Genomic DNA, 15,816 nt, shown 5'->3' on the forward strand with positions numbered 1-15,816 from the left:
ACTGCCTACTTTCAAGTTATACGCTATTTAACAAAGAACAGAACAATTTTAAAACAATACAATTCCACTTATCAACCAATCCCCATACTTTATGTTCTTTCTGCCTTATAGGATTTTTCTACAAAGGTTATCTCCAAAATACAGTGTTATTAATTTGCATAAGCAGTCCAATATTTTTACAGTCAAATCTTATAAGATAATGACACAAACTAAAGATAGATATGAAATTTAAATAAGAGGTCTCTTACATTTACCCATATAATTACCATTTATAGATATCTTCCCCTTTGCACATCTGAGATTCAAACTGGCATCATTTCTTTTTGCCTATAAAACTTCTATGAGGACTTAGAATTTATTTTTCCTGGAAATAAATTATCTCAACTTAAAAAAAATCTGCTAATGCCTTTGTTTCACTTTAATTATAAAACAAATTGGAATAATTTCAAACTTAAAGTGTTTACAAATAATTAAAAAAATAAAAATTGTACAAAATAATATGTATACCCTTTGCACATACTCTCCCTTTTTAACATTTTACCCCATTTGCCATGTCATTTACTATCTGTCTGTTTATCTATCAGTCATCTATCATTTTTAATCAACTATAAATAAATAAATATTGTTTTATATAACCACAGGACAGTTGTCAATTGTAGTGAATCTAACTTTGATTAAATACCTTTATGTAAAGTACCATTTGCATTCTAATTTTGTTAATTGACGCAATAATCTTCTTTATGATATTACCCCCTTCTAGTACAGGCTATAGTATAGGGTGAGTTACTGAATTTAATCAAAATGTATCTTCAGACTCCATAAATCTGGAATATTTACACAATCTTTCTTCATCTTTTATAATATTGACTGAGATAAACAAAATGTACCCCCTGTTCCCATTCCCACACACAGACTTTCATGCTTTAATCTCTGGAATATTTAAGTATCTTATGTTAAATGGCAAGAAGAAACTTTGCAGATGTACAGTTGATTCTTGAACAACACGAGTATAAACTGTGTAGGTCCACTTATGCATGTTTTTTAAAAAATAGATTGAAAAATTGGGGGAGATTTATAATAATTTGAGAAAACTTTCAGATCAACTGTATAGCCTAGAAATATTGAAAAATTAGGAAAAATGTAAGTATGTCATGAATGCATAAAATATATGCAGTTATAGTCTTGTTTAATCATTTGCTGCCATAAATATACACGAATCTATTATAAAAAGTTAAAATTTAACAGAATTTATACACACAAACACAGACTCTACATGCTACCTCTCCCAGTCGAGAGAACTGTAAATATATGTGGTACGGTGTTAAATCATAACTGCATAAAATTAACTGTAGTGCATACTGTACTACTGTAATAATTTTGTTGTCACCTTCTGTTGTTATTGTGGTGAGCTCAAGGGTGGCAAATATCTGCTTAAAACCCCATGTGAGAGTAATCATCTCTGTGTGAGCCGTTCATCTGTCCAGTAAATTGTGTAACGCAGTAAAAGGTGATCCCTCTCGGTTCTCACGTATTTTTCATTGTGTTTAGTGCAATATTGCAAACCTTGAATAACACCATGGGAGCCACACAATGTGCCAATAGTGGTGCTGAAAGTGCCCCTAAGAATCAGATAAAAGTCATGACATACAAGAGAAAGCTGAGTTGCTTGATATGTACTGTAGATTAAGGTCTGTAGCTGCTGTTGCCTGCCATTTTAGACAGACGATTCATCTTCTAAAGAGATGACATAAATTTTGGGTATTGATAAGTACAGAACAGTACTCTCTTTCTTATGATTTTCTTAATAATATTTTCTTTTCTCTAGTCTTCTTTATTGTAAGAATATAATACATAATACATGTAACACATAAAATATGTATAAGTCAGCTGCTTGTTATTGATAAAGCTCCTGGTTAACAGTAGGCTACTAGTAGCTAGGTTTTGGGGGAATCAGAAGTTAAATACGGATTATTGACTGTGTGGGGGAGGTTGATGCTCCTAATGCCTGTGTTGTTAAAAACTCAACTGTAATTAAAAGGAAAGAACTTTTCATAGGGAGATTACCTTGGATTATGAAGGTGAGTTCAAACTAATCACACATGATCTCTTTAAAACGGGGAACTGTCACTGGTTGGAGTCAGCGAGATGTGATAGTAGAATTCTGAGACATTAGAAATGTGTGAGGGGCTAGAAATGCTATTATTGGAGAAGGGCCATATGGAGAGTATGAGAAGGAATTTAGGACAACTCTAGGAGCAAAGACGCATTCCCAGCTGACAGCCAGCAAGAAGACAGGGTTCTCAGTTCTGTTTCCAAGGAACAGATTCTGGCAAACAACTTTGTTGTGACTTTCTCTCTCTAATTTAGTCTGAAGGTTTCTCTCTGGAGAGTGGCTGTAAGTTACAGCTCTGCACTCGTGGGGCTCCAAGGAAAATGGTTGTGGATGTTTACAATGTACCTTACATGGGATACTACTTTGCCCTTGCAAACAGCCTGAAGCCTAAGGGTCCAACCCGTGACCAGTGTCCTTCTCACAGGAAATGTCTTTATACTGGCAGACACTCTGGTGGTTCTTGTGTGATCTGTATCCAGTTTACTCCTACCAATATAGTCAACCTCTAGGAGAGCCCTGACTGAGAGGAGAGTGAGACACTGAGGAAGCAGCATAACAAAACACATGAAATAACAGAAGCAATTTATTATTCAAAGATCCATGAGAGAAGAAAGGTGCCTACAAAGGCCTATGGGAAATCTGGAGACAGCAGGCTGCACAACCAGCAGGTTGTGAGAGAGAGGGAAACTTTGTGGGACCACACCTTCATTAATGTCTATGGGTTTTGTCCCTTAACCTGAGGGACAGCCTAATGAAATTATCCAATCAAAGACATTCTGTGGGAGCTACCCTACATGCCCACTTTTTTAGCTTTCAAAATGTTATCCATGTATAGAGACACAGTTGGATGAGATTATTTTAGCCACTGAATATCTATATAACTTTTGTTTTCAATTTTAAAATAAAATTATAAGGTAATATATATAAGAACACTTATTTTCCTGTAAAGCACTCTCCTGATAGGTACTGTCATTGTGGCTATTTTATCCTGAGTCTCCTCCCCAAGCACTAATCCCAATTTTTCTAGTAGAATTATTACTTTATCACTATTTTTCTCAATGTTTTCTTCCTCCCTTACCTCACTGTCATAATCCATAAAGGCATATAGTTATGCATTATATATTTTTGTATTTATACTTTCAAACTTTTTTCCTCATATATAATGAGAAATCAAATGATGTTAAACATTGATTGAATATGATTTTATTGAGTGGTCAATCCAAGGTAACGCCTGTACCCAAAATGAGAAGAACAAATTAAGCAATATGGGTTACATATGAATAATAAATTTTTACATTTTCCAAATAAAGTTCCCCAATCAGGTAACTACCACAGGGAAATTAACAAAAATTGAGGGATTTTTTTGAAAGTAGCACGTCATAGTAGAAAATGCATTCATTGATTCTATAGTGAGAAAACTAGATTTCTAGTATTTCCTTAGCTATGCTTATTTCACTTAGTATAATTTTATCCTTAAGTTTGTTATCAGTGACATATCTTTACAGTCCTCATACTGACTCTCTGAACCTTTAGTGTTTTTTCCTCCCATTATTAAATAGTATCTCCCTCATGAGGCTTTTCCATTGTTGATCTTGAAAAGTTATTTGTTGTTTGTAAGTGCATGGATTGATATCTAGACTCTCTATAGTGTTCCATTGGGCTATGTGTCTATTTTTTTTCTATTTTTTAAATTTTACTTTAAGTTCTAGGATACACGTGCAGAACGTGCAGGTTTGTTACATAGGCATACATGTGCCATGGTGGTTTGCTGCACCTATCAACCCATCATCTAGGTTTTATGCCCCACATGCATTATGTGTCTACTTTTATGCCAATGCCGTGCTATTTTTGTTACTATAGCTTTTTAGTATATTTAAAAGTCACATAGTGTGATACCTCCAGCTTTGTTATTTTTGCTCAAGATTGCTTTGGTTATTTAGGGTTGTTTGTAATTCCACATAAATTTTATAATTTTTTTCTCTTTATTTGAACAATGTCATTGGTATTTTCTTAGGAATTGCATTAAATCTGTAGCTTGCTTGCAGTAGTATAAACATATTACCAATATTAATTATTTCAATAAATGAACATGGAATATGTTTCCATTTGTTTGTGTGATTTTTTCAATTTCTTTCAATGCTTTATAGTCTTTATTGTAGAAGTCTTTCACCTTCTTTGTAAAATTTATTCCAAAATTTTGTATTTTGTGTAGCTATTGTAAATAGGATTGCATTTTTATTTCTTTTTCAGACAGTTCACCATTGACATGCATAAACGCTGCATTTTTGTATGTTGATTTTTGTATCCTACAACTTTACTGAATTTGTTTATTAGTTCTAATAATTTTTTGTCAAATATTTAGAATTTCCTGTACATACAATGATGTCTTCTGCAAACATGGACAATTTGACCTCTTCCTTTCCAATTTGGATGCCCTTTATTTTTTTCTCTTGCCTGATTGCTCTGGCTAGGATTTCCATTACTATGCTGAATAAAAGTGGTGAAAGTGGGCATTCTTTTCTTATTTCAGATCTTAGAAGAAAAGCTTTCCATTTTTTCCCATTTAATATGATATTAACTATGGGTTTATCATATATGGCCTTTATTATATCAGGTACATTTCTTCTATACATAATTTAAGAGCTTTTAGTCATAAAGAGATATTGAATTTAACCAAATACTTTTACTGTGTCTATTGAAATAACCACCTTTTAAAAATTCTATTAATGTGATGTGTCATGTTTATTGATTTGGCTTACATTGAGCCTTATTTGTGTCCCTGGGAGGAATCCAACTCGGTCATGGCGAATGACCTTTTTAGTGTGCTGTTGAATTTAGTTTGCTATTGTTTTGTTGAGAATCTGTGCATTTATGTCCCTTAGGAGCATTGGCTTGTAGTTTTCTTTTTTTGTTGTGTCCTCTGGTTTTGGTATTAAAGTGATGCAGGCCTGGTAGGATGAATTTGAAAAAATTATCTCCTCTTCAATTTTTTTTAAAAAAATAGTTTGAGTAGAATTGGTATTAGTTCTTCCTTAAATGTTTTGTAGAATTAAGCAGTAAAGCCATCAGGTCCTGGCTTTTTTTTTTTTTTTTTTTTTGGAAGACTTCTTATTTCTGATACAATCTCATTACTTGATATTGGTCTGTTCAGATTTTCTAGTTTTTATTCATGATTTAATTTTAGTAAGTCATATGTGTCCAGAAATTTGTCCATTTCTGCTAGGTTTTCCAGTTTGTTGGCATATACTTCTTCATGATATTCTCTTATGATCCTTTATATTTCTTTGGTATCAGTTGTAATGCGCCCTTTTTCATCTCTGATTGTATTTATTTGAATCTTCCCTATATCTCTTTCTCCCTCTTTAGTTAGAATGCACAGGATTAGCTTGGGAAAGGAAACGTCTCTTCAATAAATGGTTCTGGGGAAACTTGATATCTATATGCAGAGAAATGAAGCTAGAGCACTATCTCTCACCATAGCCAAATACCAAATCATAATGGATTAAAGACAAATATAAGATATAAAACTATCGGGAAAAAACATAGGGGAGCACTTTATATCACTGTTCCGAGCATAGATATTTTGGATAACACCTCAAAAACTTAGGAAGCAAAAGCAAAAATAACACAAATAAGATTACATCAAAGTAAAATACTTCTTCACGACAAAGGAAATAATCAACAGAGTGAAAGAACACCCTAGTCAATGGGAGAAATATTTGTAAGCTGTGCATCTGACAAGAGGTTACTATAAAAGTATATAAAGAACTTGAACAAGTGAAGAGCTAAAAACAAATAATCTGAATTTAAAATGGGCAAAGGACTTGAATAGACATTTCTCAAAACAAGACATACAAATTGCCAAAAGTATATAGAAAAATGTACATCAACATTACTCAACATCAGTAATCATCAGAAAAATGCAAATCAAAGCCACAATGAGATATAACTCACCCTAATTAGAATGGCTATTTTCCAAAACACAAAAAATAACAAATGCGAGTATTGAGGTGGAAAAAAGGAAAACTCTTGTACACTGTTGGTGAGAATGTAAACTGCATAGCCAGTGGAAACACTCGAGAGTTTCCTCGAAAAATTTTAAAATACATACACTATGTGAACCTGCAGTCCTACTTCTGGGTATTTATCTAAAGGAAATGAAATCAATATGTTTAAGAGATATCTGCACCCCCATCTTTATTGTAGCACTATTCACAATCGACAAGGTATGGAATCAACCTAAGTGTCTATCAACAGATGAACAAAGAAAATGTGGTATATATACACAATAAAGTACTATTCAGTAATAAGAAAAAGAATGAAGTCTTGTTATTTATGGTAACATGAATGAACCTGAAATATTCAGGTTTTTAATAATATTCATGAATAATATTAATGATCGAACCATGAATAGTAAGTTAAGTGAAATAAGCCAGATACAGAAAGAAAAATACTACATGGTCTCAATCATTAGTAAAATCTAAAAAAAGCTGATCTTGGAGAAGTAGAGTAGAATAATGGTTACTAGAGGCTGAGGGGGGCAGAGGAGAGGGGATGATGAGATTTTCATTGTTATTATTGGCACTGTTATCATAGGAGATGACAACTCCATGTTGTTTTGTTCCTGAAGTGGAACAAAATGTGGAGGTGTAAGACAGTGATACCGATGATCCTGATGTTTATGTAGGCCCATGGTGATGTGTATGTCTTTGTCTTTGTTTTTAACAAAAAGTTGAAAAAGTAAAAAAAAATAGTAAAATGTAACAATAGAAAAAAGCTTATAGAATAAGTACATAAAGAAAGAAAATATTCTTGTACAGCTATAAAATGTGTTTGTGTTTCATGCTAAGTGTTACTATAGGAGTCAAACATTTAAAAACAATTTGAGTTTATAATGAAAAAAGTTACAGTAAACTGAGGTTAATTTATTATTAAAGAAATAATTATTAAAATAAATTTAGTGTACCCTAAGTGTACTGTATTTATAAAGTCTACAGTACTGTACAATAATGTTCTATGCTTTCTCATTGACTCACCATTTACTCATTGACTTACCTGGAGCACCTTCCAAACCTGCAAGCTCCATTTGTGATAAATGCACTCTACAGGTGTATTTTTTAAAATATTCTATGCTACATTTTCCTGGAGCTTTTCCATGTGTAGATATTTTTAGATGCACAAATACTTGCCACTGTGTCACTTGTATTCAGTATAGTACAACATTCAGTATAGTAACACGCTGTACAGCAAGCTTTTCCAACCCAGGGACCACGGGTCACATGAAGCCCAAGATGCCTTTGAACATGACCAAACACAAATTCGTAAACTTTGCAAAACATTTTGAAAATTTTAGGCAATTATTTTTTTTGCTCTTCAGCTATCGTTAGTTTTAGTGTATTTTATGTAGTGCTAAGACAATACTTCTTTCGGTGTAGCCCAGGGAAGCCAAAAGAGTGGACACCCTGCCAGGTTCACAGCTTAGGAGCAATAGGCTGTACCACATAGCCTAGATATGTTGTAGTAGGGTATATGATCTAGGTTTGTGAAAGTACACTTTACGATGGTCATAAAAGGTGAAATTACCTAACATCACATTTCTTTGAATGTATCCCAGTTGTCTTGGCATGGTGGCTCACGCCTGTAATCCCAGCAATTTGGAAGGCTGAGGCAGGTGGAACACTTGAGGTCAGGAGTTCGAGAACAGACCTGCTACCATGGCGAAATGCCATCTCTAACAAAAAATACAAAAATTATCCAGGTGTGGTGGGGCACGCCTGTAGTCCCAGCTACCCGGGAGGCTGAGGCAGGAGAATCTCTTGAACCCAGCAGGTGGAGGTTGCAGTGAGCTGAGATCATGCCACTGCACTCCAGCCTGGGTGACAGAGCAAGACTCTGTCGAAAGAAAGAAAGAAAAGGAGAGAAAGAGAGAAAGAGGAGAAGAAGGGAAGAAGGGAAGGAAGGAAGGAAGGAAGGAAGGAAGGAAGGAAGGAAGGAAGGAAGGAAGGAAGGAAGGAAGGGAAAGAAACCCAGTTGTTAAAAAATGCATGAATTTTATGTGTTTGTGTATCTATATATATAATACACATCTTTTTCAAAATAATTTTGTTTTTATTAATCTGCTACTTTCTTGCTATTATTTCCAAGCCTCTCTTTCATTAATATAAATATATTAAAAATAGTTATTTCATATTTTGTAATGTTTGAAGTCTTGCAAATTTGGAATTTGGTACCTGTTTTGTTTTCCCCATACTCTTCATCCGGCTCTTATTCAGAAGTCCTTTTCTTCTTAGGTGTTTTGTGATTTTTAGATTGCTTGGAACCTTACCTGTGTCTACTTTTTAAGGTCTGGGTTGAAAGTGCTTTCTCTAGAGAGAATGTGTTTAATTTTGCAATATGTTTGGAATATTAGCAACCTAAGGCCTCCTTAAATTGAATCTTTACTGAGGGTTTATTTTATACTATACAGGATGATCTTAAATGTATTTGCAAAGCTTTGTGAAAGCTGGCTGGCTATTGTAAGGTCTCTGGAGAGATTTTGTTTAGCTTTTGTCCAGTGCCCAAAATAATACATACAACTTTTCTTGATTTATTTTGTGTGATGGGATTTCTGTTTGGCATTATTCTGATGGTAGGATCCCATAATGATGGGTTCCAACTTTACAAAGGTCTTTTTATAAGACAGTCAATCTTGGGTAGGCAGTTCAGCTATAAAAATTATCTTTCATGGTATATATATACCACATTTTCTTTATCCAGTCTATTATTGATAGGCATTTAGGTTGATTCCTTGTCTTTGCTATTGTGAATAGTGCTGCAATGAACATACATATGCATACATCTTTGTAATAGAATGATTTATATTTCTTAGGGGTATATATCCAGTAATGGAATTGCTGGGTCATATGGTGTTTGTGGTTCTAGATCCTTGAGGAATCGTCACACCATCTTCCACAATGGTTGAACTAATTTACATTCCCACCAACAGTGTAAAAGCATTCCTATTTCTCCACAACCTCACCAGCGTCTGTTGTTCCTTGACATGGAATACTATGCAGCCATAAAAATAAATGAGATCATGCCCTTTGCAGGGATGTGGATGAAGCTGGGAGCCATTATCCTCAGCAAACTAACACAGGAACAGAAAACCAAACACCACATCTTCTCACATGTAAGTGGGAGCTGAACAATGAGATCACATGGGCACAGGGAGAGGAACATCACACATTGGGACCTGTCGGAGGGGTGGGGTTGGGGGTGGGAGAGTGTTAGGAAAAACAGCTAATGCATGCTGGGCTTAATACCTAGATGATGGGTTGATAGGTGCAGTAAACCACCATGGCACACTTTTACCTGTGTAGCAAACCTGCACATCCTGCACACGTACAGGATGTGTAAAAGTAAAAATTAAAGTTAAAATTAAAAATTAAAAAAATACACACTTCAAAAAATTATCTTTCAAATGAAAGCAAAATAACAGTAAACTGAAACGCAATTTTCAGTTGTTATATTGGAGATAGAACATTACTAGCCAGGTAGCAATATATACAAAACAATTCTTTGATCCCGCATTTCTAATTTATAGAATTTATAAAGTAGATATACCTTAACACATACAAAATGGCAAATGAACAATGTTATTCTTTGCAAAAATGTAATAAAATAGTCAAATATTGGAGGATTGTTAAATCATGGGATTCCATACACATGATGAAAAACCATGCATGAAAAGAATGGAGAAGGATTTTATGTAGCAATATGGAAAGCCCCCAGAATTTATTAGGGAAGAAAATGAAGTTTATAACAGTATATATAGGATGATATATTTTGTCTAAATAAGGAGGAAAATTAAAAGGTAGATTTTTTTTTGTATTTGTATAAATAAATGACAAGAAGGATGCAGATGCACACAAAAAAAATCCAAAAGCTGTGTATGTGGGGAGTGAAAGTTATTTAATGTGGTCAAAGGTGGAATTAAGAGTTTCCACAGTTCACATTTTGAGTAAAATTTATATTTTTTAACCTGTAAATATGTAAGAAATTTAAATAATTGAAAAATGTATGCTTTAGATTTTATGTACTTTCACTTCTTTTCCATCAGCATCTAATCCACCAGACTGTCAGAAATAGAAATCACCTAAAAATCATTTAAAGTAATGCATACTTATAAAAATAGAAACCTATAAATTGACCCTCTCTGAAAAGAAGAATATAGATTTATATTTGTTTATATTTACATGTAGAAATAATTGGATACACAAAAATAAAAAATATTTACATATGATAACTAATTATATCAGTTGTTTCTCCCTGAGTCATAAACATTATCACAAAAACAGCTGTTATTTCTTTTTTGTGTGTTTATGTGCATACATATAATGCATGTTTATATGTGTATATGTGGAGAGAGATTATACATATACATATATAATCTAAATAATTATATGCATATTATTTTTCCTGAAAAATATTTATATTAGGTATTGTTTTTCTCTTAATTATATTATGAAAATAATTCCATGAAAATACTTCCAAGGCAGTGAAGAATATTTTAATATCTAGCTGTATTTTTTATTATTAATTCAAATGATTCCCTTTGCTGGGAATTTAAGTTGTTAATATTTTTAAGTTACTGAATTGTTACAGTGAACATAATTGCATGTTGTTCCATTTTCAGGTCATATTATTATTATTATTATTAATTTTCTTATATTCTTTCTGGAACAGTGGGAAACATAAATAAAATATTTGGTACAATAGTCTTTCTAGAAAGACTATTATAATTTTTTATTTTCTTCTATATTCTTTGTTGGGCCATAAGCTCATGAAGAAAGAGGTTATGAGAAATCTTCATTTCTGTATTCTTAAAGAATAATGTCTTCTTTATAAAGGTATTTAGTGGATGTTTAAAGAATAAGCAGCCACATTCTTTCTAATTTCTATAAGCAAAATAAACAGCCACTGGCGCTCTCTGCCCTAGGAACATAGGTGCGTGTGTGAATATTTTTGTGTAATGTACATATATGTGTATATATATGTGTAAAAAATTATACATATGTATGTGTGTGTGTGTGTATATATATATAATCTTACTCTATTCTGGTATAGAACAAGGAACAGGCACAAGATTATTTACTCTTTCTTTGGATTTCATTGATTTTTGATTCATAACCTTAAATGCTTTGAGCTTTATGAGTATTAAGTCAAACACTAATAAAAGTAATTATTCAAATATTATACACATGCTATGTTTCACTTTAGCCCCTGTCCAAAAAAAAAAAAAACAAGTTTTTCCCTTGAAATCTTTTTTTTCTTATACTGAAAATTGCATTAACTTTCACTTATAAGTTTTAACATCTCTCTTTTTTCAGACATCTTTGCTTAACTTTCAAACAATTGCTTTAACTAAATTTCTCTCAGTACAACTATAAAATCTAAGTAGCCTAACCAGGGCATAGTTATGTGGCTAATAACCAATATCTGAGCAAAAACAACCATTCATCTTTCAAAGTCTAACATTGTATTTTCTTAGGACAAAAGGGGAATTTGTTTTAAATTCAAACTAAATTATTGTTTGTCAGAGAAATTTATTACATTTTGAAGTACCGTAAGATAAGCATATTTCAATATAGCCTGCAATTTCTTTTTTGCAAGCCAGTATTTATTTAACACTATTTTGCTTTCTCTGTGCATATTTCTGGCTTCTCCTCCCAAGCTGTTTGCTGTTTTATAGCAAATGAAAATATGTTTGCGGAAATTGCATATAAAACTGTTTATTGAGACTTAAATCTTCTGTGGCTGTTGTTTTTCCCTCAAAGCTCCCAGTTCTAGTTCTCTCTCTCTCTCTTTCTCTCCCTCTCTCTCTCTCTCCCTCTCTTTGTCTCTCTCTCTTTTTGTGTGTGTGCGTGTTTAATATAATTAAATTTCTATATCTTATATACCCTTAGTCTATCATTCATTTCGAGTTGGGTTAGGACGATGGGAGGTAAGTCAGTTTTTTAATGCACCTAATGCTCCTGAACATATAAGTAAAGAAAGAAGAATTTTGTGCTGGATCCAAGAGCATTTATATTTAACTATATGTAAGAAAAAAGATAATTTTTGACACTATATTGTTCATAATTTAAGTTTGGTTGCATATGAATACTTAAAGGTCTTTAACTAAAATATTTGCCATTACTTTTAATGGCAAAAACTGCAATTACTTTTGCACTAACCTAATGGAATGTTATTATTTTCTGAAGGTAAGTCCAGGTATAAGCAAAGTAGGGCTGTACAGCATTGAAGAATAGTCAGATTGCTGACCAATCTGATCCTGAGTAGAGTCTTTATCCAGTACTTGCTATTTGTATTAGCCAGTTCTCACACTCCTATAAAGAACTACCTGAGACTGGGTAATTTATGAAGGAAGAGGTTTAATTGACTCACAGTTCTGCAGGCTGTACAGGTGGCATGGCGGGGCAGGCCTCAGAAAACTTACAATCATGGCAGAAGGGTGAAGGGGAAGCAAGCACGTCTCCACATGGAGGAAGGAGAGAGAGAGAGCAAATGGGGAAGTGCTACACACTTTCAAACAACCAGATCTTCAGAGAACTCACTATCACGAGAACAGGAAGGGGGAAATCTACCCCCGTGATACAAGCACCTCCCACTAGGTCCCTCCCCCAACATTAGGGATTACAATTCAACATGAGATTTGAGTGGGGACATGGAGCCAAACCATATCGCTATTGTTCACTCATTCATTCTCTAGAAACCACCTATCAAAATCCCCATTTTTAGCTGTGTAGTATTTTATGTAAATATCTATAATATACCTACAGATACATGTATAAATTTTAGAATAGTATTAGATTTATAGAAAAATCATGAAGATAGTAGAGTCTGTGTATTCCTCACCTCCGGTTTCTCCTATTATTATCTTATATTACTATGGTGCACTTGTCATAAATAATGATCTAATATTGATAAATTGTTATTAACCAAACTCTATAATGTATTTGAAATTTATTAGTTTTTTTCTCCTTCCTCTGTTTCAGGGTTCCATCCAGGATACTGCATTTAACTGTTATTTTTCCTTAGGGTCCGCTGGTTTGTACTGGTTTCCTAAACTTTCTTTGTTCTTGATTACTTTAACAGTTTTGAAGATCAGATATTTTATGGAATGATCCTATTTTCAGAAGCCCTCAATTTAGTCTCCCTAATGTTTTTCCCAAAATAAAACTAAGGCTATGTGTTTTGGGAAGAAAGACCACAGATACAGAGTGCCGTTCTCCACACATCCTGTCAATTATACATAATATCAACATAACTGACCCCCAACAATATCAATCTTGATCACCAACCTGAGGGTTGTCACGTTTCTCCACTGTAAAGTTACGCTTTTTCCCTTTCTATCCTGTCCTCTTGGGAGAAAAGTCACCATGCACAACCCACACTAAAGGAGTGGAGAGTCATGCTCCATTTCTTGAGAGTGGAGTATCAAATTTATTTGGAATTCTTTTGCATTGGATGTTTGTCTGTTTGCTCCTATTTATTTAATATAAATTTAAATCAAATGTAATTAAATTCAGTATACTTTAATCAAATCTATTTAATATAAATGAACTGTTTAATAAACAGTTAAATATAACTGGACTAATTTATATTTATTTTATACTTTGTGTTATAACACTAAAGTTTTACTTAGTCTGTTGCACAAATTGCTCCAGCTTTGGCCATTGAGAACACTTATGTCCCTTTTTGATACACCCATCATTATGGGATTTTTAAAATCATTTCTTACTTTCTGGAGCTATAAGATACTCTAAGATACTCTAGTATTATCTTGTCTATTACATTCTCCACACCAGAAATTTGATATTTTACCAAGTTGCCTCAGTTCCTTTTTTTTTTTAGCAATTAATATTAGAATCAAATGTCTGGGCACTGAGTTTGCTTGTTGTTAGAATATCAGCATGTTATTGCTTCAGTGAGCAGAGCTAGGAAATATGTGTGTGGGGGGAGAGAGAGAGAGAGAAAGAGATAGGTGTGAAGGGACTCAGCAGAATGGGCGAGGGGCATATGCCAGTCTGAGCAAATGAAGGTTTATGCCACACTTCATCTTTGCAGTTAATCTGTGAGGCTGCTGAGAAACCAGCCTGTGATTCCCCTGTTGCTTCAGCAGGAGACATATGCTGCATATCACTAAATATTACACCCCAAATGGCAAGACACTGTGAAACAATGGCTCTTATTTTTCCCCTTAACCCACAGAGCAGTTCATGTGAAACAGCTTTGGTGATTTGATATGAAAAGGAGTTCCATGTTGTGTGAAGAGGGATATAAAATCCAGAGGAATAGAAAATATCTTCTCATGCTGCTCTGTGGTGCTTGTATGGCATCTAGTACAGATGTGACATTAAGGTAGATTAGATAGTGTGGTTATATGCTCTCTTAAAGAGGAACAAACTTACCAAATAGATGGAGAGAACAAACCACTCAATAGTGGCCAAACCACATCCTGGGCTTGTGGTTAGAGCATCCTGCAGCAAGGAGGTAAAAGAACAGAAGGGAAAATCCCCAAATTCATGCAAATGCAGAAACCTATGATTAGTATACTTGGGCTGACCTATGCTCATTATAATAATGAAAACCACATCAGTGGGTGGAGAATTAAAATGCTAATAAGACATATGAGGTATATACTAGCATGTACAACAATAGCACATGGGCATTAAGGAGACCACCCACAATACGCTTAACAACAATGCACATTTCCACCCCTTCACAACTAATCATGTAAGACTCCTGTAGAAGGAGTTTCTCCAGTGTTAGTTGGTGTTGTCTCATTGTGGAGCAGCCTACTGTGACCTAGCAGAGTGTAGTTTCACTTTGCAATAAAGTTTCCTCGCCTACCTTTACTTTAGACTCTCTCTCAAATTCGTTGGTGCAGCAAAGTCAAGAAACTGAACCAGCCCACTAACAACAACTTTAAGCACATTCTTTTACTCTCTCTGTATTAAGAACATTCAGTGGTCCAACCACTGTGGATACAGGGATGAAAATGGAGAGCTCTTGTACCCAAAACTCTCTGGTAAAGGATAAAGAGTGAAGATCCATGTAAAAGAAAATAACAATTGCAATATAGTCCCTCTAATAGATTTATGAGCAAAAAACCATGAGAACTTGGTAAAAGAAGTTTAATTTTAACATTTTAGTTGTGTTTTGAGACAAAAAGAAACATTATAGTGACGATGTTCTAGACATTAAAGTAGACAATTTACATATGCTAAATAGCAAGCTCCTGGTAAAACAGCTATCAACTGAAGTAGCATTTCAAACACAGACTTTAACAGTGCTATGTCATTATACCACACTGCTTCCAATAACTATTGTGTGCTGAGTTATAGTATTCCAAATGGAAAGAGGTTACCCAGGATAAGAAAACCCCGAAGCACTCACTTAGATGTTCTCCTGGCCTTTGAACGGACTTCCTGAAGGTGCAGTTGGTGTAAGACCAACCATTGGTCCTAGGTTTCCTATAATAAAATACTTTCTAATATTCATAACTACCAACAAATAGAAACCTCTTTCTCATAAAGGAATAAGACTTCCTGTTGCTGAAAATTTTCAAGTGGAGACATGATGACTGGTGAGTCAATGATGCAAATAGCCTAGACTCCTTTCAAATTCTATTATACTGCTCATCAATGAAAAAAAAAGGT

The 15,816-nt window shown here is 33.9% G+C and overlaps 1 annotated feature.

Annotated features, from left to right (window-relative positions):
- Window positions 14,757-14,826: an enhancer, noted in NCBI's record as "active region_5331". NCBI's record gives its function as "activates an Ori minimal core promoter by ATAC-STARR-seq in GM12878 lymphoblastoid cells {active_cell/tissue: GM12878}" and the evidence as "EXISTENCE:reporter gene assay evidence [ECO:0000049][PMID:35858748]".

Source organism: Homo sapiens, chromosome 11 (genome assembly GCF_000001405.40).
Source record: "Homo sapiens chromosome 11, GRCh38.p14 Primary Assembly".
Taxonomy (NCBI): Eukaryota; Metazoa; Chordata; class Mammalia; order Primates; family Hominidae; genus Homo; species Homo sapiens.